This window comes from Homo sapiens, chromosome 6 (genome assembly GCF_000001405.40).
Source record: "Homo sapiens chromosome 6, GRCh38.p14 Primary Assembly".
Taxonomy (NCBI): domain Eukaryota; kingdom Metazoa; phylum Chordata; class Mammalia; order Primates; family Hominidae; genus Homo; species Homo sapiens.
In genome coordinates, this window is record NC_000006.12 from 52912020 (window position 1) to 52937571 (window position 25552).

General features: G+C 44.3%; 2 annotated features.

The window, feature by feature from the left end:
- Positions 10718–11377: an enhancer, noted in NCBI's record as "OCT4-NANOG-H3K27ac hESC enhancer chr6:52787535-52788194 (GRCh37/hg19 assembly coordinates)". NCBI's record gives its function as "activates a minimal SCP1, AML or CMV promoter by ChIP-STARR-seq in naive H9 embryonic stem cells {active_cell/tissue: H9 hESC(naive)}" and the evidence as "EXISTENCE:reporter gene assay evidence [ECO:0000049][PMID:30033119]".
- Positions 19352–19646: a silencer, noted in NCBI's record as "tiled region #1037; HepG2 Repressive non-DNase unmatched - State 22:ReprW, and K562 Repressive non-DNase unmatched - State 22:ReprW". NCBI's record gives its function as "represses a minimal TATA promoter and a strong SV40 promoter by Sharpr-MPRA in HepG2 and K562 cells {active_cell/tissue: HepG2 | K562}" and the evidence as "EXISTENCE:reporter gene assay evidence [ECO:0000049][PMID:27701403]".

A 25552-nucleotide genomic window follows, 5' to 3' on the forward strand; every position in this document is an offset into this window, starting at 1 on the left:
TAATCCTAGTACAAGTAAAATAGTTGCAGAATTGCCAATGCATACCTCTGTGAAAAACAAATCTACTAACAAGAGTACAGTATTTTTCTTTCCTTCTTTTTTTTTTTTTTTTTTTTTTGGTCTTAAGCCTTACAATATCCAGTCAAAATTGTGGTTTTCTGTGGTTATTTAGGTCAGTTCTTTTCCCCCCCACCTCCTTCAGTTTGGTAATCTATTCATTTGAAATGCTGTTAGGTTGTTAGTGTTTGTATATTCCACTTTGCGGTTTCCTTACATCCTGGTTGGTTTTAATTAATTACTTAGTTTTCTGGTATGCAAAACTTTACCATGATTCTAAGAGCCAGAGTTATATGAAAAAGTGTCTTTGGAGACACTGTCTCTCTCTGTCCCTAATTCCCATTCCTAGTCCCTCTTTTTCCCACCCATTTCTCACTCATCCCCCTGTAGACAACAAATCTCACTAATTTCTAACTTTCCCCTTTTGTTTTTCTTTTGCTCAAGTACATATTTCCTTACAACCCCTTCTTTCTTACATAAAGGGCAGCATACCATAATACTTTTTTGCTCTTTGTTTTGTGTGGTTGTTGGTTCCCCCACCCTTCACTTAATGATAGGTCCTAGAAATCACCACCATCTAAGTTCATAGATGTCTTCCTTTATTTGCTACAGCTGCAAAATACTCCATCGTATGAATGCATCATAGTTTATGCAAGCACTCTTTATTTATTTATTCATTTTTTTGAGACAAAGTCTCACTCTGTCACCCAGGCTGGAGTCCAGTGGCATGACCTCGGCTGTCGGCAACCTCTGCCTCCCAGATTCAAGTGATTCTTCTGCCTCAGCCTCCCAAGTAGCTGGGACTATGGACTACAGGTGCGCACCACCACGTCTGGCTAATTTTTGTATTTTTATTAGAGACAGAGTTTCACCATATTTGGCCAGGCTGGTCTTGAACACCTGACCGCATGATCGGCCCACCTCGGCCCCCCAAAGTGCTGGGATTACAGATGTGAGCCACCATGCCTGGCCTGCAAGCACTCTTGTATGTGTGGACATTTAGGTTGTTTCTAATGTTTTGGAATTACAAACAATGCTGCAATGAATAACACTGCATATGCATTTTAGTATTGCTGGAGGTATACTTTAGTATGTTTCTTTAAAATGTAAGTGCTTTTTTTCTGGACATCACCATTCTATTCTAACACTAAAAATTTATGTTTCTTAATTTTGTCAAATAACTGCATGCACACTTCCTCAATTGTCTCATAAAAATTTCTTTGCCATTGGTTTATTTTTGTCAGGACCCACGAAGTCCATACATAGAATTTGAGGGACATTTGTCAGTATGTTTTGCAGAAATGGATGAGATACAGAGTAGGGCAGAGGGTGTGGGGATTTGTGAGATCTCAAAGCCCAGCCTCATATCCTCAGTTCCTCAAAATATGCGTGGAGCTGTGCAGGTGTTATTGTTCATTGGTGGTGCAGGAATGGGGATCCAGCAGGCCATGCCCCACACCAGGAGGTCACAGGACTATTGTGCAGACACAGTGTCCCTCAGGTGTTATTAGAGGCTCACCAGGACTCTGGGAGGGCACAGAGGAGAGGCCAAAGCTCCCAGAAAGCAATGAGATAGGAGTTAGATGTGGCCAGTGGGAAGGAGCTTGCCAGGTAGGGCTAGCAAATGCACCCAGGCAGGGAGAAAGGAGGCCTTGCTGTTCCCAAGGGGCTTATTGAGCTGGAGATGACAGAGTGAGGACTGTGGTGAGGATGCATCCTGCATGACATGGAGACTCACTGAAGAATTTAAAGAAAGACAGTGATATTCAGATTTGTGTTTGAGCAAACCTACTCTGGTTGTAAGTGAAGAAGAGACTAGAGCGAAGTGAAGCTGCCAGCAAGGAGACCCACTGGGAGGACCCTGGGGTGGTGGAGATGAGAAACCATGAGGCTCTGACCCACACAGTGGAAGGAGATGGGACAAGGAAAGAGATATGTGAGGTAGTTAGGAGGTAGAGTTGACACGGCTTGTGTCCCATTCTGTGGGGGGTGTGAGGAGAGAGAGTGGAGAGTGTGTCCCGGTCACTGGTTAGGACTCCTATAACACAGGCACATCCCATTCATGGAGTGAGACAGGATGGTGTCAACTTCCATACCTGGAGCCAGCCCTGGGAAGAGCCACTCTGATCCGTTTTCCCCTGGGACAGCAATCCCTCCCACGTCTCTCTGAGATAGAGAAAGGTCTGGGCAACTCTAGTTGGGCACATTAACTCCGTTAGGTGTGGCCAGAAGAGTTTAGTGAAATCAGCAACTGAACTGCAGGGCAGGTTTCTGGGAAGATACTCTGCACAGACCTTTTTCCTGGGCATCAGACCCCCGATCCTGTACATCTGCCTTCTGGCATGTTCACCTACCCACCCCTCAGGCAACTCCAACTGACCCTGTCCCAAACTGAAATCAGGTTTCAAATCTCAGAGATTAAAGCTCCACACTGTTGGTCCACCCAGTTGCCCAGGCTGGAAATCTGCCATCAACCCTTACTCCCCCATCTCCCTGTGTGTCCTACCATTTCCTTCTCAATCTCTGTCCAGTCAGCAGGTTGCCCTCTCTTCTGGCCCCAGTGCTGCAGTGTTCTGCACACTGGACTTGGTGTTCTTGGGCCTTCTGCATGATTTTCTGGCTCAAAACCTTCAGTGAGCCATTAATGCCCTCAGGGTGAAATCCAAACTCAACAGAGTTTACAAAGCCCTGCATAACCCACCTTCTTTATTTGTCCAGCCTCATGTTGGCCACTCTTCCTCCCTCACCTAGCCATGCTCACTTTCAGACTTTCTAGCCCTCTTGCCCTCACTGCCTTTACTTTACTACCTGATTGGTTGGGTGTGAGCTAAGTTGCAAGCCCCGTGTTTAAAGGTGCATACACTCAACTTCCCAGCTAGGCTTAGGGATTCTTAGTCGGCCTAGGAAATCCAGCCAGTCCTGTCTCTCAGTACCCCTTCTCAACAGGAAAACCCAAGTGCTGTTGGGGAGGTTGGCTGATGACTGCTCTAACTGCTTCCTGCTGAATTGGGGCATACTAGGGGTTGTGCAGTTGAGATTTCTTCAAGAGGGGTGCCTTCAATGTCATTAACATCGAAGCATGGGCTAGCAGGCCAGTCCAGAGGTCTGCGGTAGATCTTAGCCATGGATTGCATCTGGGGCTCCATTTGAAGAACAATTTTTAGGTTTACAGCTTCGATTCTGGAAGAGACAAACTTAACAAGGCGGTTAAAGATATAGGGATTGAAATGTATGGCCTGCAGTGCAGGGGATTATTTCTTTGGCACACTTCACAGGCCCTGACTATCTGCTTGATAGTTTTGAAAAGGCCTGGTCCAGTAAATAATAATTTGGCCATCTGATGGGTGCTATCAATGCCTAAGTGAAAGGTTTGGTGAAGGGTTTTAAGTAATTTCTGTTGGTTAGCTGCAGGCAAAAGTATTTTTCCTTCTTCAGTGGCTAGCCATCCTGAGGGGAGGAAACTATGTCCTTGTGAGGTTCCCCATTCTATTTCTTCTTCTGAGTACTGGGGCTTCATTTCCCAGAAGGGATTACCCCATACTAGAAGTCTTTCTATAAGCATTTCTAATGGAGAGTCCTGCCTTGCAGCTCTTTTGGCTTCAATATCTGCTTGGCGGTTCCCTTCTATTTCTCTTTCCTTTCCAATGACCCTGGCAGTGTAAGACTGCCACCTGTTTAGGTTTCTGTACAGCCAATAATAATCTCCTAATGGCTTCCTGATGTTTGATAGGTGTTCCCTCGGAAGTTAGGAATTCCCTTTCTCTCCATATTGCTGTGTGGGCATGGAGGACTAGGTAAGCATACTTAGATCCTGTATATATGTTTACCCTTTCTCCTTCTTCTAATGCTAGTGCCCAAGTGAGGGCTATTAGTTCTGCCAGCTGAGCACTAGTTCCTGGAGTGAGGGGATTACTTTGAAGTATTCCATTATCACTGACCACTGCATACCCCGCTTTTTGAAGTCCTTTTTTCTACAAAGGAACTTCCATCAGTATACAAGTTGAGGTCAGGATCAGTCAAGGGAACCTCTAAAAGGTCCCCTCAAGTGGCGTATATTTGAGCAATTACTTGTTGACAGTTATGTTCTATCTTTTCTTCATTGTCTGGGAGAAATGTGGCTGGGTTAAGAGTTGCACAAGTGCACAGTCACAGCACTGGCCCTACAAGTAATAGAGCCTGATATTTAAGTAAATGGTTGTCTGACAGCCACAAGTCTCCTTTAGCAGTGAGTATGCCATTCACATCATGAGATGTCCACACAGTAAGATCTCTTCCCTGTATTATTTTAACTTCTTCAGGTACTAAGACTGCTACTGCTGCCACTACCCATAAACAATGAGGCCAACCCTTGGCCACTACATCAATTTCCTTACTCAGGTATGCCACAGGTTGCAAGCTCATCCTTCAGACCGGTGTAAGGCCTCCTAGAGCTATTCCTGTTTTTTCTGTGACATATAAAGAAAAGTCTTGCCCCATTGGCAAACTTAACTGGGGCTTGGTTTAGGGCCTTCTTTAGGGCCTGGAAAGCCACTTCTGCTTCAGGTGTCCATCTTACTAAATGGGCATTGGCTTTCTGAGTTTTCCTAATTAGTGTATATAATGACCTGGCTATTTCACTGTACCTGGGAATCCATATTCGGCAGAAGCCTGTTATGCCAAGGAACGCTCTTAGTTGCTTTAGTGTTTTGGGATAAGGATAAGCCAGTATAGGCTGGATACATTTCTCACTGAGGGCCCTGGTGCCTTTGGACAATTTTAGCCCTAAGTATTTAACCTGCTGTGAGCAGAGCTGAGCCTTTGGTTTGGAAACCTTGTAGCCACAGGTGGCGAGGAAATTTAAGAGCACTTGGGTGGCACTGGGCACGGTGGCTCATGCCTGTAATCCCAGCACTTTGGGACGCCAAGGCAGGCAGATCACAAGGTCAGGAGATCAAGACCATCCTGGCTAACATGGTGAAAACCCGTGTCTACTAAAAATACAAAAAATTAGCCAGATGTGGTGGTGGATGCCTGCAGTCCCAGCTAATTGGGAGGCTGAGGCAGGACAATGGCATGAATCCAGGAGGTGGAGGTGGCAGTGAGACGAGATCGCACCACTGCACTCCAGCCTGGGTGACAGAGCGAGACTCTGTCTCAAAAAAAAAAAAAAAAAAAGAGCGCTTGGGTGGCCTGATGGCACAAGGTTTCTGAATGGGCAGCTAAAAGTAAATCATTCATGTACTGAAGGGCAAGAGTGTCCAGGTATGAGAACTGGCTCAAGTCTTGGGCTAATGCCTGGCCAAATAGATGGGGGATACCCCTGAACCCTTGGGGTAAAACAGTACAGGTGAGTTGAGATGTTGGGTTCAAAAGATCTTCAAAGGCAAACAAGAATTGAGAGTCAGGATGTACAGGGATGCAGAAAAAGTCATCCTTAAGGTCCAGGACTGTAAACCACTCTGCTTCCTCTGGTATTTGGGAAAGCAGAGAGTATAAGGGTTAGGTACAGCTGGTTACAGAGGGACAACAGACTCATTGATAATCCTGAGATCTTGCACTAACCTTCACCGTCCGTTGGGTTTCGGTACTCCTAAAATTGATGTACTGCAGGGGCTATTGCATGGTTTTACTAGGCCTTGGGCTTTTACGTCCTTAACAATCCTTTGGAGTCCTTGTTGGGCCTTGAGTCTAAGGGGGTACTGCCTTTGGTAGGGAAAGGAGGTGGAATCCTTCAGTTTAACTTGAACAGGATGGGCATTCTTTGCTCATCCATAGTGTCCTTCTGTTGCCCAGACTTCAGGATTAATTCCTTCCTCAAGCAGGGAACAACAAACAGGTGTTCCTTCTCCTATGTTCAGGTGTATAATGGCCCCTGCTTTTGCTAGAATGTCTCTCCCTAACAAGGGAGTGGGGCTTTCAGGCATAATTAGAAAAGCATGTGAAAAGAGTGAAGTTCCCCAGTCACAACTTAGTTGCTGGGAGAAGTATCTAGTGACTGCCTGTCCTAGGACCCCTCGGATAGTGACAGATCTGGAGGACAGTTGTCCGGAACAGGAGAGTAAGACTGAGAAGGCCGCGCCAGTGTCCAGGAGACAGTTAACCTCCTGGCCCTCAATGGTCACACATACCCGGGGCTCTGTGAGGGTGATGGCATGGGCTGGCACTTGCCCCAGGCACCCTCAGTCTTGCTGCTGGATCTTCTGGTTAGTGGCTTCTGACTCAGAGGACCTTCATCCCCTGGGGCAGTAGGCCTTCCAGTGATTCCCTTGACATAAGGGGCATGGACAAGGGGGTAGCTTATTTCTACTTGGACAATCTTCTTTAAAGTGCCCTTGTAGATCACACTGGAAGCAAGCCCTATTAGGCATTTGATTTGCCCTTTCCAGAGCCTCCAAAGTCCGCTTGCCTGAGGGCTATGACTAAAGAAGTGGCCTTTTGTTTATCCCGTTTGTCCAATCCGCCTGCTCCTCCTGATCTCTATTATAAACAACTGAGGTTGCCAAGTTCAATAGTGTTTCTAAATTTTGCTCCAGGCCTAAGGCGGACTTTTGAAGTTTTTTTTCTAATGTGTGCAGCTGACTTAAAGGATAAACTTATCCTTTAAGATTAGTTGGCCTTCAAGAGAGTCAGGTGACAGAGAGGTATGCTTCCTCAATGTCTCCCTTAGTCTCTCCAGAAAGGCCGTAGGATTTTCTTCCTTTCCCTGTGTTATAGTGGACATCATTGAATAATTCATAGGCTTCTTCCTAGTTTTCCTTAGTCCTTCTAGCATGCAAGGTAGCAAATGTCTGTGGCACCAATCTCCATGTTCTGAATCTGTGTCCCAGTGTGGGTCTACACTGGAAACTGCCTGCTGGCCTGTGGGGAATTGTTCTCTTTCCTCTGTTGTCATCCTGTCATTGACCTGACGGAGATACCAGAGATTGCCACACTCTTGGGCTGCAGTTTTGGTGGCACTTCTCTCATTTGGGGTTAGTGTTTGATCTAGCAGTAACATTATATGTCTCCATGTCAGATCAAAAGATTGTCCTAACCCTTGTAAAACATTAATATAGCCATCAGGGTTATCTGAGAATTTACCTAGGTCTATTTTAATTTGCTTCAACTGTGAGAGGGAAAAAGGTGCATACACTCTGACTGGGCTGAATTCTCCACAATACATCTTAGGGGTGTTTTTGCCTTGGGGGAAACGTTTCCCATCTGAAAAAAGAACATAAGGATGCCAGCACCCCAGTAATTTTCCAATGAGCATTAGTCATAGAGCATCCTCTATGGTCCTAATGCTTATTACTTTCCAGGGTGCGTAACCACCCATGGACCTCTGCTTATTGGATTAGTTAAGCTCACTGATGTGGCAGTCCTGCCCCTGTTTTCCCACCTTTCTTGACCACAAAGAAATGGGTCTGGGCTGCTGGATTCTAGTGGTCCTTTACCAGTGTGTCCAACATTGCCTTTGTGCTCAGGGGTGAGTCCTAGAGCTGGGCTGGGTTCCTGAATATTTCATAACAACCCAGCTGCCCCATCAAGATGCATTCCCATAAACAACAGTTCTTATGCAAATTCATTTCAGAGAACGTGTAGGTAACTTTTTGAGTCAGGATTGAGTAAGTACTTGATTCTGTAAGTACTTTAAGGCTTGGCTGAGTGCAAACAGCTTGCATGTTTGAGCAGAGCAATTATTAGGCAATTTTTCTAACTCTGCTTCCACAAGAATCTCCCTGTCAGTTACTGAATACCCATTGTATCCTCAATCACCTGAGAGGAACCATCTATCTTCCTGTCCTGAAGGGAGTTCCTCCTAGGTCTGGTTGGACCTTTGTATGGTAATTAAGATTTAAATCCCCTGTTAGGAAATCTGCTGGGTTAAGGGAATTATCAGTGGTTGGAGTTACATTACCTTTTTCTAACAGAATAGCCCCCATACTTTAAGATTTTTGAGTTAGTAACCTTTTTGCTTTTTTGACTTAGAATAACTCTGAACTGGTGAGGTGTGCTCACAATGAGGTTTCCTCTAAAGGTTACTTTTCTACTTTCTTCTGTTAGCAAAGCAGTTGCCGCTACAGATTGAATGCATCCATGGGTTACTGGGTTAAGGATTTTTGATAGGAAAGCTACTGGTTTTCTGTGGTCTCAGTGTTTTCAGGCTACGCCCTTGTTTACACTGACAACAAGGTAGTATTGGAGTGTTATAGGGTCACGGAGAGGACCTTCAATTATCAATTATAGGTTTTAAATTTACGCTGGCTTTTAAAGGAGTACAGCGTACTTTTTTTTTTTTTTACTATTTCTTTCTTTTTGACTCCCTCTGTCTCTCTCTCTCTCCTCAGTGTCTCTCTCTCCTCCATCTCTCTGTCTCTCCCCTCCGTCTCTATCTCCTCCATCCTCTCTCTCTCCTTCTCTTAGCCATTACAAACTTGGGGCCCTGGCAAGAGTGGGGGGAACAGGTCCCTCATAACTGCCCATGTTGAAAGCTGTATACCTAAATCGGGAGGGACACCAGGGATAAGACTCCCTGGGTTTATAGCCTAGATGCCTAAGGATGCAGCATAGAGCTTCCTTAGACCCCTTTGGAGATACAACTTGCTAGAGGAAATGAAAGTCTGAACCTTTGTACCTAGGAGGCAGGGATCAGAGGAAGTAGATTCAGAGGTAAGGAGAATTTTGGGGCTACTCTTTCAAGAAAGTCTTGGTCAGGACCCAGAAAGTGTGGGTCAGAAGGAAAGGTAGGGGTGCACACATGGGCGACTGTTGAATAGAGACTTCTGGCTGCACCATGATCTCAACCAGCTAAAGCCGGGAGTTCAGGACGTCAGCTTTCTGCCTCTAGTCAGCCCTTGGCTTCCCCAAGAAAATGGAAAGCGGAAACTGGTTCTAGGCAAGCGAATGTTCCCAACCCAGAAGGGTTGGATGTTGTTAGAAAGATCTTCCTTCCTGAGACGGCCTCACACCTGAGTCTTAAATCTGGTGGCCATGTTAATCATTTTTAACTGGCCGACAGGTACCTGGTATTTTCCTCCAATTCTAAGGAAGGATAGGACAGAATAGCAAGGGAAAGTGTTCCAATATTGCCACTTTGGAGGTCCCATCTGGGTCGCCAAATGTTACCGGGGGGTCCTTGCTCCCAGAGCTCCCAAGATGGTGGCAAGCTGCTTCCAAGATGGTGGCAAGCCTTGTGTTCTCTGACCTGGGGTTCTTGGCCTCACGGAATCCAAGGAATGGAATCTTGGGCCATGCGGTGAGTGTTATAGCTCTATTAGAAGCGGTGGGTCATGGAAGAGAACTGTGGAACCCAGTGACTAGTGTTCAGCTTGATTAGGATGAAGCCGGGCACTTGGCCGTGCAGGAACAATGGCAAGACTTTAGCCAAATTGGGAGGGGCAATGGGCCCCTCACTGGATCAGGAGCACAGCGGACACCCTGCTGGATCCAGAGGTATGGAAGTCAGTGGCGGGTCTGTGACAGCGGCAAACAGCAGTGGTGGATGGCGAGCGAAAGCTCAGTTCGAGCCGTAACAAACACGGAATGGAAGAGTGTGCAGGTGCAAGATTTAATAGAGTGAAGACAGAGCTCCCATAAAATGGGAGGGAACCTAAAGGGGGTTACCGGTGGGGGCTCGAATGCCTGGGTTTATATGCCGATCATTGTCCCTCCTGCTGTGCTCTCAGGCAATAGATGATTGGCTATTTCTTTACCTCCCGTTTTTGCCTAATTAGCATCTTAGTGAGCTCTCTTTACTACCTGATTGGTAGAGCGTGAGCTAATTTGCAAGCCCCATGTTTAAAGGTGGATGCAGTCACCTTTCCAGCTAGGCTTAGGGATTCTTAGTCGGCCTAGGAAATCCAGCTAGTCCTGTCTCTCAGTGACAGGGGTCGGAGGACAGCCAGTGTACCTGGATCAAATTCTTTTATATTGACTCATGGTTAAATATAATATAGACAAAGCCAGCATAAATTTAGTCCTGTTTAACAGCTTATTGCAAAAAAGCCTGAAGTAAAAGTACGAGCAGCTTCGCCAGCAGACATAGAGTTAAAAAGGGAGTCCAAGAAACAGCAAGAGAAGCCAGTTTTGCAGGAGCCAACAGAGATAATAGAAATTCTTTTATGTCCCAGCCTACGCCACTTTACCGAGGCCAACAGCCCCCTCAGAAACCAGATTCAGGAGCTAATACGCCCCAGGTCTCACCTCGAAGGGGAGGATTGGAGCCTCAATAGGCCAAGGAAGGAAGTCAAGATAGTCAAGTGGGCCCTCTCAGGTCTGGTCTTGCTGGAGCTATGCAAATGCCTCAGGGAGATGTGAGGACCTGTCTATTATAATGACCAGGCCCACATCCGGGGCGGGGGCAACAGACTATCATCTATCAGCCCTTTTCAACCATCGATCTACTAAACTGGAAACACCCTGAACCCGCCACCTTGCTCCCGGCAGCTAGAGCCCTGTTGAGCATAACTGTGTAGAGGTGTTGGACTCAGTTTACTCTAGCAGACCTGACCTCCGGGACCAGCCTTGAGCATCACTAGACTGGGAGCTATACTTGAACGGAAGCAGCTTCATCAACCCACAAGGAGAGACATGTGCAGGATATGCGGTGATAACCCTGGACTCTGTCGTTAAGCTGAGCTCATTGTGTGGGGAAAAGCAAGAGAGATCAGATTGTTACTGTGTCTGTGTAGAAAGAAGTAGACATAGGAGACTCCATTTTCTTATGTACTAAGAAAAATTCTTCTGCCTTGAGATTCTGTGACCTTACCCCCAACCCCGTGCTCTCTGAAACATGTGCTGTGTCAACTCAGAGTTGAATGGATTAAGGGCGGTGCAAGATGTGCTTTGTTAAACAGATGCTTGAAGGCAGCATGCTCCTTAAGAGTCATCACCACTCCCTAATCTCAAGTACCCAGGGACACAAAAACTGCGGAAGGCCGCAGGGACCTCTGCCTAGGAAAGCCAGGTATTGTCCAAGGTTTCTCCCCATGTGATAGTCTGAAATATGGCCTCGTGGGAAGGGAAAGACCTGACCGTCCCCCAGCCCGACACCCGTAAAGGGTCTGTGCTGAGGAGGATTAGTAAAAGAGGAAGGAATGCCTCTTGGCAGTTGAGACAAGAGGAAGGCATCTGTCTCCTGCCTGTCCCTGGGCAATGGAATGTCTCGGTATAAAACCCGATTGTATGCTCCATCTACTGAGATAGGGAAAAACCGCCTTAGGGCTGGAGGTGGGACCTGCGGGCAGCAATACTGCTTTGTAAAGCATTGAGATGTTTATGTGTATGCATATCTAAAAGCACAGCACTTAATCCTTTACATTGTCTATGATGCAAAGACCTTTGTTCACGTGTTTGTCTGCTGACCCTCTCCCCGCAATTGTCTTGTGACCCTGACACATCCCCCTCTTCGAGAAACACCCACAAATGATCAATAAATACTAAGGGAACTCAGAGGCTGGCGGGATCCTCCATATGCTGAACGCTGGTTCCCCAGGTCCCCTTATTTCTTTCTCTATACTTTGTCTCTGTGTCTTTTTCTTTTCCAAATCTCTCGTCCCACCTTACGAGAAACACCCACAGGTGTGGAGGGGCAACCCACCCCTACATCATTGCTTTAATTTAGGCCTTAGAACTCAGTGAAGGTAAGACTGTAAACATTTACACTGACTCTCGGTAGGCCTGTTTAACCCTCCAAGTGCATGGAGAATTATATAAAGAAAAGGGCCTGTTAAACTTTAGGAAAAAGAGGAAAAAGACCCAGAGAATGCAACTCAGCTTCAGCGTTTTCAGAGGTACCAAGAGGCACTTCTGCAGAGGCTAAGAGTTAGTAGAAAAAAAGCAATTAATATAAAAAAGATTTCAGAAGTGCTTCAAGGAGCTGACAAGAGCCTAAGTCAGTTTTATAAGAGACTCTATAAAGCATTCTGACTTTACACCCCATTTAACCCTGAGGCTGCTGAAAATCAGTATACAGTGAATACTTCATTTGTAAAGCAAGCCCAGGGTAACATCAAGCAGAAGCTGCAGGCATGAATACCACCTAGTCTTTAAAAGGTGTATGTTAACTGTGACCAAGGAACAAAACTGGAAAGAGCAAAAGCAACAAGCATGGAAGCTAGGCACGCCAAGGATTAAGTCCCTCTCCCCAGCCTGGCTCTAAAAAAGGAGCCAGGGACTGGAGCTGGGAAAAGAGCAAAAGAAAAAGAAAGACTAAGAGTAAGTGTGAAAAAGAGAATCAGCAGAAAACAGGAGAGACAGACAGCAGTACGCGGGGGCAGGGCCCGTGCCATTGCCCGGCCCTGCCAGCTGGCTGTAGGATCAGGGAGGAAAAAAAATTAATTAAAGTTTAAGGAAAAAAAAAAAAAGGCAATCTGTTGGCAACAGCTCTTACAAAAAGAGAGATTAGCAATGTGAGGGATGTGGATGTGGATGTAGATGTGGAAGAAGTCAAGTTAGGCAAGGATTCAAGAGCCAGACAAGGCTAGAGAGAGATTAATGTGTGAGATGCAAAAAGAAAGGACACTAGAAAGATAAATGTTCAGAAGACAATGAGGAAAGTGGCCAAGGCCGCAAGACAAAGAGGCCATCGGCCAAGGACTGCCGCACATTGGAGGAACCAAATACTGATCTGATCAGGCTGGCAGGAGCTGAAGAATGTAAAGACTAGATCAGGCCAGGCATGGTGGCTCACGCCTGTAATCCCAGCACTTTGGGAGGCCGAGGTGGGCGGATCACGAGGTCAGGAGATCGAGACCATCCTGGCTAACACGGTGAAACCCCATCTCTACAAAAACACAAAAAATTAGCTGGGCGTGGTGGCGGGCGCCTGTAGTCCCAGCTACTTGGGAGGCTGAGGCAGGAGAATGGCGTGGACCTGGGAAGCGGAGCTTGAAGCGAGCCAAGATCATGCCACTGCACTCCAGCCTGGGCGACAGAGCGAGACTCTGTATCAAAAAAAAAAAAAAAAAAAAAAAAAAAGACTAGATCAGACCAGACGGACCAGACACATTCTCATTAGGCTCCCAGGAGTCCATGGTCATGTTAAAAGTTAAAAGCAGCAAGATTCTACCATATCTAGATTCCAATTTCTCAATGATGGCTAAGCCACTAGATAGAGTTACAAAGCGGGGGAAGAAAAAGAACCCCTCCTGTAAGAAACTTAAACAGGAGGAAGAGTCATACCTTGTGAAAACTTGCTTATAGATATTACAGAACTGCCCCATGCCGGAGGCTATTGGTACATGCTAGTGCTTGTTTGCACCTTTTCAGGGTCAGTTAAAGCTTTCCCCACCAGGACAGAAAAAGTACAAGAAGTAATTAAAGTACTTTCAAAAGACATTATCCCCAGGTTTAGACTGCCTCTAACTTTAAAGTCAGACAATAGGCCAGCATTTGTAGCTAAAACAGTGCAAGATTTAACAAGACTGTTAAAAATAAAATAGAAGTTACACACAGCCTATCGGCCACAAAGTTCAAGAAAAGCTGGAAAGCATGAACCAGACACTCAAGCAGCTACTGAAGAAATATTGCCAGGAAATTCATTTAAGATAAAATCAGGTTTTTGCCTATGGTCCTCCTCCGAGTCAGGTGCACCTCCACCAAACAAATTAGGTATTTGCCCTATACGATTTTGTTCAGTCGGCCACCCCCAAATCATAGGTCAAATTAAAGATGACCTCCAGGAACTAAAGGAATTAACTTTAAGAAAGCAAATGCAGGCTTTAGAAATAGCCATACAAAGTGTTCATAATTAAATAAATAAAAATGCCTATAAGCCTGACACCCCTTTAAATCTAGTAACTCTGTTTTAAGTTAAAAAGTAAAATCTAATTTTTCTAGGACCCATATAGGATGGGCCCTTTACTGTAATCTTGTCCACTCCCACTGCTGTTAAAGTTGCAGGTGTTGTGTCTTAGATCCATCACAGTCAGCTAACACTGGCAGCTCAGGACAAGTAGACCAGCCAGCAGGACACAGATCATCCAACCCAGCTGATCCTGAGACGAGACCAAGCTGCTGCTGAGGACGACAGCCCTGCTCTGGTCACTCTGGAGGCTGACCAGTCTATTCACGGCTGAAGCTTGAAGAAACAACAAGCCCTGCTCTAGTCACACACCGGCAGCTGACTAGTCTATGCACAGCCAAAGTTTGAAGACTCATCAAGCAAGTAAATGTAGTTTAAAATCTTAAGATTAATAGTTTTCCTGTAATACTGACTGCTTTCCTATTGTTCTGTTGCTGTATTCAACCTTTTTCCCGGGCAAGGACCTCTTTTTTCCTTGCTGGATATGAATATACTGTATATTGTTTTGTTGTTGTTACCCCCCATAACCGTGCTAGAAGAAAGACCTATATAAGGTTTCCCCACCGTACACATACTACTTAGTCAGGAAACCCAGACCCGTCTGGCCCAGTAACAATTTCGAGTCTTTAAGTCATTCTTTAAACATATAAACCAGAAGTTACCAGAGCCTCCTCCTTTAGCAAAAAACAAACAAACAAACAAACAAACAAACAAACAATAAAACCTATTTGCTCAGCTGGCTGAAAACATTGCTGGCAGCCTAGTCATTTCCTCATGTTATGTTTATTAAAAGGCTAACATGAGAAACCAATGGTCTTGAGAAGCAAAAGAGTTAATGCCTCAAGATAACTTTGCTTTAACAGACTCTTTCCCTAAACAGACACCCACAAGTTCAAGCATCTGGCTCTTAAAAACTTCTATTATTAAAAAATACTGTGTTGCTCACTAGGAAAAAAGCTTTTAAGACCCAGTAAAAGAACTAACCTGCTTAGGACATGACAAAGTTGGCACATGTGCCTGTACAGGTTTAGTGCAGGTTTAATCCTAGGTCTTTATTTAGAAAATAGTTTCCAGCTATAAGATAATTTAAAACCCTCATTGTAAGTATATTACTAGTAATAGACGCTTGCTGCTCCCCTGTGTATTACACTTGCTCCTTCAAATGATAAAAGGTTTTGTAGCTACCATTGTTTGTCAGAAAACTTCAGCATAAGTGTATTACATAAAACACTATCACTCTGTCTCAGAAAGAGACTCAGAAAGTAAAAATAAAAGTGAGAACTCCCACTAATTAGTGAAATTCTCAAAGGCGGGGATAAGGAAGGAGACCGCTACTACTCCTGCTGCCCTCCTCCCCCAACCTTGCCTAGTTCACAAGACAGGAGGAAAGAGAGAAAGAAAAAGTTGGAAAAAAACAAAAGTAAGATAAATAGCCAGACAATCTTGGCACCACCACCTGGCCCTAGGAGTTAAAAAACTAATAATAATAATAATAACATCAACCGCTGACCTAAACTACTTGTGTTGTCTGTAAATTCCAGACATTGTATGAAAAAGCATTGCAAACTTTCTGTTCTGTTAGCTGATACATGTAGCCCCCAGTCACATTCCCCACGCTTGCTCGATTTATCACGACCTTTTCACATGGACCCCTTAGAGTTGTAAGCCTTTAAAAAGGCCAAGAATTTCTTTTTCAGAGAGCTCGGCTCTTAAGACACAAGTCTGCTGATGCTCCCGGCTGAATAAATCTCTTCCTTCTTTAATCCAGCGTCTGAGGAGTTTTGTCTGCAGCTCGTCCTGCTATAGTTCTACTTTGAAAATGCACCATATTAAACTCTTTAATGATTAAGTTAGTATCTCTATTAAGGCCAGCTCCCAGACGGCTTTATGTTGAGACTAACTGTCTGAGCTCTCCCACACCAGATCTGAAACATCAGAGAGAAACTCTCTCTCCTTAGAGCAAAATGTTTAGAATTACACAGGGTGAAATAGACCTATCAACCCTAAAGGAATGAATTAGTGAAGATTAGGAATACACACCCCTGGATAAAAAATATCTATGTTGATAATCAAAAAAAGCAAGCTAAAAAGCAAAACATCTTGGCTGAGAAAATGCAAGCAGATGTAATTTTTAATCCAAGCTGTTCATTCTTATTATTTTAAAATATTGTTTCTTTAACTGGAACCTTGACCTCTAAACTGTATGTGCAGCATTAGCGGTTGGTACTGGGACTTGCTGATAATTCAATTTTAAAATCAAATGAAGGCCAGGTGCAGTGGCTCATGCCTGTAATCCCAGCACTTTGGGAGGCCAAGGTGTGTGGATCATGAGGTCGGGAGATCAAGACCATCCTACCCAACATGGTGAAACCCCTGTCTCTACTAAAAATACAAAAATTATCTGGGCATGGTGGCAGGCACATGTAGTCCCAGCTACTTGGGAGGCTGAGGCAGGAGAATCACTTGAACCCAGGAAGCAGAGGTTGCAGTGAGCCGAGATCGCATCACTGCACTCCAGCCTGGGCAACAAGAGCAAAAACTTCTCGAAAAAAAAAAAATCAAATGAAACCTTTAAAAAACCATACTTCAAAATGGACACTTCACTTCTTTAACGTTTTTACTATTCAACTATTATCAAATATGTAGCTTGTATAATATACCTAGTTAGAACGAAGATTTGATGTATAAATCAGTTTCAGCTTTTTTTTTTCACCATTTGGAAAAAATAAGATACTCCAGAAAAATTCAACTTTCCCTCCCACTGAGTTACCAAAGGGGGGAAAAATTGATTAGAATGTGTCTTCTTTGCTTCTGCTGACCTCTAATGGCATCAGAAACAGTGTTTTTGTTTTTTTATTATTTTTTAAAATTTATTTATTTTGAGATAGAGTCTCACTCTGTCACCAAGGTTGGTGTGATCTCGGCTCACTGCAACCTCTACCTCCCGAGTTCAAGCGATTCTCCTGCCTCAGCCTCCCAAGTTGCTGGGATTATGGGTGCCCACCATCACTCTTGGCTAATTTTTGTATTTTTAGTAGAGACGAGGTTTCACTATGTTGGCCAGGCTGGTCTTGAATTCCTGATCTTGATTGATCCTCCAACCTTGGCCTCTCAAAATTCTGGGATTACAGGTGTGAGCCATCGTGCCTAGCCAGGAACAGTGTCTTTAAAAGAAGCAAAGAAAACAAGTAAAATGCAAGAAGGAAAAAACAAAAGTACCCGCTCTTTGTAGAATGAATATAATTCATAGTACCCCAAACATGTTTTAATTAAAAATGAATTTTTATACCACCAAAACTGTAACTTTTTGAATGGTGATAAAAATGTACCGTATCCTCTCAAACAAAAGGTTGCTATAATTGCAAAAATAATAACCATATTTTGTTTGGAAACAATTTGAGTAAAAGATCTCATCCTAAATTTGCAAACTGGGAACTGCCCAAATCAGAGCTGAATTCATGGCAGACCAGGAAGAAGTGCTGTTCACATCCAGTTCTCTGGAGCCACTAATGGAGAGGGGTATGGGCCCAAGGATAACAAGGCCATCCCTGCCAGGGCTGCTCAAGATCTGATTATCAAGAGATGGCCAAGGGCCAGCCATGTAGCCAGGAAGGCTGAGCAAGCAGATGAGTCATGTGCCAGGCAATATCTATACAATGTGGAGAGTACTAATGTCTTCATTTTAGAAATGAGGGTCACACAGATAAAAACTTGCTTAGTCATCCATCTGGTAAGTGAAAGAGCCAGATCCCACATCTTTCCAGTGTCAAAGTCCATGCTTTTTTTGTTATATCATATGCCTCTCCCCCAGAGTAAAAGGGAAGAAGCAAATTGTGATCTTGGGCTTGAAGAGAACATGAACAAAAGACACCATTCCCGGAAGTGAGTGAGGGTCTCAAATCTGAAGCAGACAGAGATGGGGGGTAAGGATCCTTACGTACAGAGAGCAAACAGGGGATGCAAGATCATAGAACATTCTCACATCTGGAGAGAACCCGAGACTGTGTTTGGAAAGATGAATGATAACACAAGGCAGTGTTGCAAACTTTAATGGGTACACAAGTCACCTGGGGATCTTGCCAAAATGCAGATGCTGATTCAGTAAGGCTGGGGTGGGACCTGAAACTGCATTTCTAACAAGTTCCCAGGTGCTGCCCATGCTGCTGGTCCAGGGCCACACTGTGAGTAATGAGTGTAAACAATGTAAGCCAAATGGGCGGTTCAGACACAAGCGCTCTCTGCAGGTGAAGCCCTCCACACCAGGTGGGGGACAGAAGGCGCTTATGGACAGCAGCTGAGAAATCACAGCCATCAGTGCTTCAGACACAAAGGCCTGCAGAATGCCTGTGATTTTTTGTTGCTGATATAGTTCAACTGTGGTTCGTACTGTTTTACTTCGCAAAAGGCATACAATGGTACCTTTGACCAGAATTGTTGACCTGGGAGTGTTATCTCTTTTCTATTGGCTGAAATGTTTTAAAATTTCCAATCGTGGTTAAACTACCCATGAGGCTTCAGAGTGTTTATTTACTTGTAGGCATTTGTGTTAAAGGATGGAGAGGCTCTCACTCTGCCTCTCCTTCTCCAGAGTAAAGGAACTCTTTCCCCACAATTCCACTTTTCAAAGCTTAATTCTTGGTGAAGTACAAGCAGCAGGACTGAACTGTGGGACCAGACATGGAGGGGCTGGTAAGAAGCAAATCCCAACTGGACCAGGCCTGAGCACATATTCAGGAGGAGGGAGGCTTTCCTGCCCAGGACCAGCAATGAGGCTTCTATTGAATGTACCTCTGTTCCTGATTTGAAGGACTTCGACGTCCTATTTGATGGCTCAGAGGCAGATACAGTCTTCCGGCCTGCCAGTAAAAGTCTCTGCTCCTCCTTTCTAGGTTTGGAAAGAAAGGGGAAGAACTGCAATTTATTGAAGGTCTGCTGTGTGCCAGGCATTGTGTCTAATCCATCACTTGATTAACAGACACACACACACACACGCACACAAGTACATGTCGAAGAAAGAGTCAGAAAGCAGCCTCTGGTTTTTCATTTTGGTTGAACTCATTTCATTTGTGGGCATCAATGTCTGTCCTTAGAGTCTACAGATAAACCAGACCCTTCAAGGACATCTTTTTGTCTTTTTTGATGTGGATGCCCTGATTAAACTGGAGATGATTTTGGAAATAGCTCATGAAAATTTACTTGAAGAGGCTTTGCAATTTCATTCCCAGAAGAGGCTGAGGGTTGCACCCCCCTTCACCAGAGGTATCTCCACTGTGTCTCCAGGGTATCACCTGATTTGATGAGCTCTGGCTTCCCTTCCAGTCCTGGGGCTCCCCTGTCTGTATGTTTTACACTTCACAGGGCACTTTATCACTACACAGAGGTACTCTCTATGATGCCTTCTGAGAAGAAGAAATGTAACTAAATTATAGTTTTAAATTCATCCACAAAGACCTGAAAAGAAAATGTAATTAACTAGATTATTGGATTCTTTTGCAATTGTAAAGGGAAATGGGGGCATTTAGAATTCTGGGAAATAGCAACTACTTTTAAGTGTACATTACAGCTCTATGAACAGGTAACATGGCTTAAGTAACACTTGAGAATTCTCCACATCCCCCCTCCCATTTGTACTGGCATCTTTGTTATGCACAGTCTAGTAACAATGCAGATCCTTCCCTGACCTTCCTCTGCTAGAGTAATTGACAAGAGGCACCTGGAGTCAGGACGGCCTGTGCTCAAACTGTCTTTCAAGCACATACTGGATCTATGATTGTGGAAAGTTACTTAACATCTTTGGGACCTACTTATAAGGTACTTGTGAAGATTAAGTAAGAGGTAAAATCTGCTTAGTGCAAACCTAGGCACAGATCAGGCCCTCAAAAACCGTGGCCATGAGGCTTATTGTTTCATTAACAATGGAAGAGGCTGTGGAAAGAGAATTTAAGAGTACACACTGAAGAGTGGAAATGGAAAGTGTGAAAAAGATAAACATGAAAGTCAAAATTTTAAATTAGAATTCTTTTTATATGTATTTTCAAAAAATTTAAATGAGATCACTTAAATATAGCTAACATCTCAAATTTTAATTTTTGAAAAGTTAACTAAACCTTACTATATTTTTAAATTTCTATTTATTTATTTAAATTCTTTGCATGAAAATACATTCAGCTTTTGTGTGTTTGGAATACAATTAATTTTTTTTTTTTTAATGAGACAGAGTTTCGCTCTTGTCACCCAGGCTGGAGTGCAAAGGCACGATCTCGGCTCACTACAACCTCTGCCTCCTGGGTTCAAGTGATTCTCCTGCCTCAGCCTCCCAAGTAGCTGGGATTACAGGCACCCACCACCACACCCAGCTAATTTTTGTATTTTTAGTAAAGATGGGATTTCACCATGTTTGCCATGCTGGTCTCGAACTCCTGACCTCAGGTGATCCACCCACCTCGGCCTCCCAAAGTGCTGGCATTATAGGCTTGAGCCACCACGGCCGGCCTCAATTAGATTTTTAATGCTTTAGATGATCACTATAAACAGGACCCAAATTATTTGAAAATAAGGTAATTAATTATTTTTGCTGAAGTTAGAATAAATTTTGTGGAATGAAAAAAAGAAAGAGACAACTAATGTGTTAATTTGGTTAATAAATATTGTTAAAATAAATTAAAAAACAAGGTAATCTAAGTTTAAAAAATGAAATATAATAAAGATTTTTATACTTAAAAAAAAGAAAATAGAAAGTATGGATGAGAGAGGTGCGTGGGTTGCCTCCACAGACCGTGGATAGCTACTGTCTCAGAAGTTTAGAAGTCTGGCCAGGAAGCCAGCCTAAATGCACCTGGCAGATCCTGGGGATGCTGTGAGGGAGAATGGGGCCACACAAGCAGATCTACCACCTGAGGACTCTTGAAGTTATCCACCACCACTACCTGGAAAGCAAACTGCTCCTCTGGCCCCTTTCTGGGCTGCTGGCCTGGTGGCCCTGGCTGGTTAGAATGCTCTCACCTGGGCTGAGCCAAGCAGGGAGGTCCTTGCAGGACTGGATTCTTGAATGTTATTGGAGGCCATGCTGGGAAACAAGGTGAAATACTCTCTCTCCTCAGCTGGCATCTGGATCTTTCTAAAGTCTTGTGCTTTACAGATGAGATCGGGCATGTTCAGGGTGGTATGGCTGTAGACAAAGCCTTGTGCTTTACAAAGATTTGCTCTTACCCCTTGAAGAGAAAGCTGCCTGGGGCCTGGCATGAGTAGGCCTGGCTTCTCACCCTAGTCATGGTCACGTCTCTGGGAACCTAGGTCCCCAGCTTCTCAGGGCCTCAATTTCCTCACCTGTACAAACTATAATGATCACATGTCTCTTGGAGGGTTATTGAAAGGATTAAATTATATAATGGATATAGAGTACCTAGAAGAGAGCCTGGACTATAGAAAGTGCCCAATAAATATTACTTTTCTCCATGATATTTGTCTAAAGCAATCTCTATGTGGTGTAATTAAAGCATGAAGGACCCTTTATTCCTGATACAACCATACCTATTTCCTGGTACCTGAAATTCCTTTTAGAAAAGACAAAGTTGTTTTTTGTTTTTTTGTTTTTTTTTTACAAGTAAATATGAAGTACAAAGAACAAATTGTTCAGAGAGGTTCCATAAATCTGAGAACTAATCATGAAGGGGAAGAGCATTGCAGTTAAAGAAGCCAGAAAGAACAGACTCCCAAATAGCATCTCAGGCAAAGACGGCCACATCCTGTTGGGCCGTCAAGTTCAGGGACTGTGTGTCAGCTCTGCAGGTCCTGAAACACAATGGGACAAAGTGCTTCTGGGGGTAACACAACAGGAGGAAACTTACTTCCATTAAAAACACCCAAAACAGCCTTAAAGAGGAATACAATTCTATTACATGCCACAACATGGATGAACCTTGAAAACATGCCGAGTGAAATAAGCCAGAGACAAAAGGACAAATATTGTATGATTCCACTTACACGAGCTACCTACAATAGGCAAATTCACAGAGATCACAACTAGTCCCTGGTCCCCACCAGGGGCTGTGGGGAGGAGAAAATGGGGAGCCATTGTTTAATGGGTAGAGAGTTTTAATCTGATGTGATGAAATAGTTCTGGAGATGGATGGGAATGGTGGTGATAATTGCACAATAATGTCAATGTACTTAATACCACTTACTGTACACTTGAAAATGGTTAAAATGGTAAATTTTATGTTATGTGTATTTTATCACAATCACATACATACATACACACTAGGTATATACAAATAGCAATATCAGTTGTTTAACAAGAAGAGCATAATTGCCCAGAAAATAAGAGCGCACCTGAGGACCAGCTAACACACTCTCAACCCTGGAGAAAACTCTACAAGTGAGGCTGTGATAAGTACAGAATCCAAACTAGGAAAGTGGCAGGATGTTGAGAGCTGGCTTGACTCATGAAATGATAAACTCGGGGCCCACCATCAGCCCTGCAAGAGCAAATTCCCAACCTTTCACAAATTGGCAGAGACAAGAAATGGTAATATGTGTAAGTCCTGGGTGTAAACCCGGAGGCTGCTCCAGCTTCCCCAAGGGCTGAGATGATTGATACCTTGGCCCTCTGCAACCCTTCCAGGGCACACGAGTTCTGTGGTAGGAGCCCAGAATATTCATTATGTGCAAGTGCTAGAACAGTCTGCAAATTCCTGCCCTTTAGCCCCTTTTCGTGGCACACTGCTGTACAAAACTGTTAATTGAAGTATAGCTTACTTTTGCATTAAATCCTGTTTTCTTGAGATCATACCTCAGAGTACTTAACTGATCTAGGAGTCTCTGAAATCTTTTCCACAGCACCTTGGTGATATGGTTTAGAGCTGTGTCCCCACCAAATCTCATGTTGAATCATAACCTCCATTGTTGGAGGTGGGGTCTGGTGGGAGGTGAATGGATCATGGGGGTGGATTTCTCATGAATGGTTTAGCACCATTCCCTTGGTTCTGTCCTTACCATGGTGAGGGAGTTCTCAAGAGATCTGGTCATTTAACGGTGTGTGGCACCTCCCCGCTCCCTTTCTTGGTCCTGCTTTGGCCATATGAGGTGGACCCCCTTCGTCTTCTACCATGATCGTAAGTTTCCTAAGGCCTCCCCAGAAACCAAGCAGATGCCATCATGCTTCCCATACAGCCTGCAGGTAGGAATGTGAGCCAATTAAACCATTTTTTCTTTATAGATTACCCAGTATCAGGTATTTCTTTATAGCAATGTGAGAACAGACTAATACACTTGGTGAACTCTGTTTGGCTGGTGATGTCTGTGATGCCTTGTTTCATTTGCTGGTGAGAGATGGAGCTACAGGGTTAGGAGGGAAATTCTGCTGGACCTTCCTGATTCAGGAAGAAAGAGCCACAAGAAGAAGGCCCAGGAGCACTGTCTTGGCATTGTGGGCTCAAGCCAGTGCTACTGTGCAGAAGTAAAATAGACCAGGACCAGAAGATCAGTGACTGCCTGGGGCCAGGGGTGGGAGCAGCATTTGGCAAGAACAAGGACACTTTGGTTGGGGTGAGGAGACTGTTCCAAAACTGGAGTGAAGAGATGGTTGCACAAATATATACATTTACTAAAAATCATGAAACACTATAATAAATAAATAAATTGTACCTCAAAAATGCTGTTTAAAAAATAGACATGTGGTCGGGTGTGGTGGCTCATGCCTGTAGTCCTAGCACTTTGGGAGGCTGAGGTGGAAGGATCCCTTGAGCCTAGGAAGTTGAGACCAGCCTGGGCAACCTAGGGAGGCCCTCTCTCTACAAATAAAAAAGAAAATTAGCCAGGCATGGTGGCGCATGCTTGTGGTCCCAGCTACTTCGGAGGTTGAGATGGGAGGAGCACATGAGCTGGGAAAGTTAAGGTTGCAGTGAGCCACAATCGAGACATTGCACTCCAGCCTGGGCAACAGAGCAAGATCCTGAAAAAAAAAAAAAAAAGAAAGAAAGAAAGAAAGAAGACATTTGTAAAAACAAAAACAACATTGAGCTATAAACTTAAGATGTGTCCCCTTTACTGTATGTTTATTTTACTTTGACGAAAAATTTGTCAAAAAAATGCATAAGTTCCAAAGGTGTTATAATTTGAAAGAAAAAAAATTCTATTCCTTGTAAGGTTTTTTGTTTTGTTTTGTTTTGTTTTGAGACAGGGTCTTGCTCTGTTGTCCAGGCTGGAGAGCAGTAGCGCAATCACACCATGCCCCAGGCTCAAGCAATCTCCCCACCTTAGCCTCCCAAGTAGCTGGGATTACAGGCATGTGTCACCATGCCTGGTTAATTTTTGTATTTTTTGGTAGAGATGGGGTTTCACCAGGTTGCCCAGGCTGGTCTCAGACTCCTGAGCTCAAGCAAGCCTCCCAAAGTGCTGGGATTACAGGAAATGGGCTTAGGGGAAAAATAGATATACAATAAATCATAGCATTAAAATGGCTGCAATAGCCAGGTGCAGTGGCTCACCCCTGTAACCCCAGCACTTTGGGAGGCCAAGGCGGGCAGATCACTTGAGGTCAGGACTTTGTGACCAGCCTGGCCAACATAGTGAAACCTCGTCTCTACTAAAAATACAAAAATTAACCAGGCATGGTGGTGTGCGCCTGTAATCCCAGCTACTCAGGAAGCTGAGGCAGGAGAATTGCTTGAACCCAGGAGGTGGAGGTTGCAGTGAGCTGAGAACGTGCCACTGTGCCACTGTGCTCTAGCCTGGGCAACAGAGAGAGACTCCATCTCAAAACAAAACAAAACAAACAAACAAACAAAAATGGCTGCAAGGACTCTGAGTGGAAACACCATTTTCATATTTGCCACCCCTTAGAAACAGGAGAGATCTATTTCCTAGCTATTTCAAGTCTCCCAAGCTAAACAACAGGTTGCTGCCATATATATTTTAAAACCTTGAGTCCTGACTTCTAGATCCAGGCTCTGGCTCAGCCACTCATTAACTTATGATCCTAGGCAAATTTGCCTTCTTCCTTTTGGTCTAAATTTTCCCTTCCCTAAGAATGTGATGCCTGCTGGCAACACCATACAGTAGGATCATGGCTCATATGGTAAGGCACTCGCTGAGCCTCACTTTCCTAACTGGAAACTGAGGAGACAGTAGACCTTTGTGGTTCTGTTGGCCCCTCCTCTCTCCTCCTCTTCCTCTGGTAATACCAGCCCCACTCTTTTGAGGAACTTCTCCTGCCTCCTCCACTTGGTTACTTTTGGCTGCATCAGGACCTCCATGGCAGCAGCAGGGGCACCAAGGAAGAGGTGAGCCAACAACCGAACCACAAAAGGATGTGAGGCCAACACAGATGTCAGAATGAGTTTTGGGCCATCCTGACTGTCTGAATGTCCCTGAATTCACACTCATCTTTCCATATGTGTGTATTAATAAACCCCCTTCTTTGCTTGAAAGTAATAACTACAACTCCCCTCTGACCCCCGCACTCCTGATAAAGAAAATCAAAGACCAAAATCAAAGCCAAACTTCTTTCTATCAATTTTGCTCAGGGCCGGCAGTCAATGGAAGCAAACCGTCTCTGGCTTGGTCTTAACCCCTCCCTCTAGCCCTGTGCCAAGAAACTCATGCAGCAATCACACATTTAAAGCTTACAGAGGAGTCTAAAAGAAGGAGTAATTACCAACATCAAGGGGTCATTATGGGGGCCACTGCTTAGGTTTGAATTATTTGTACACTGATGTCCAAACAATGACAAAA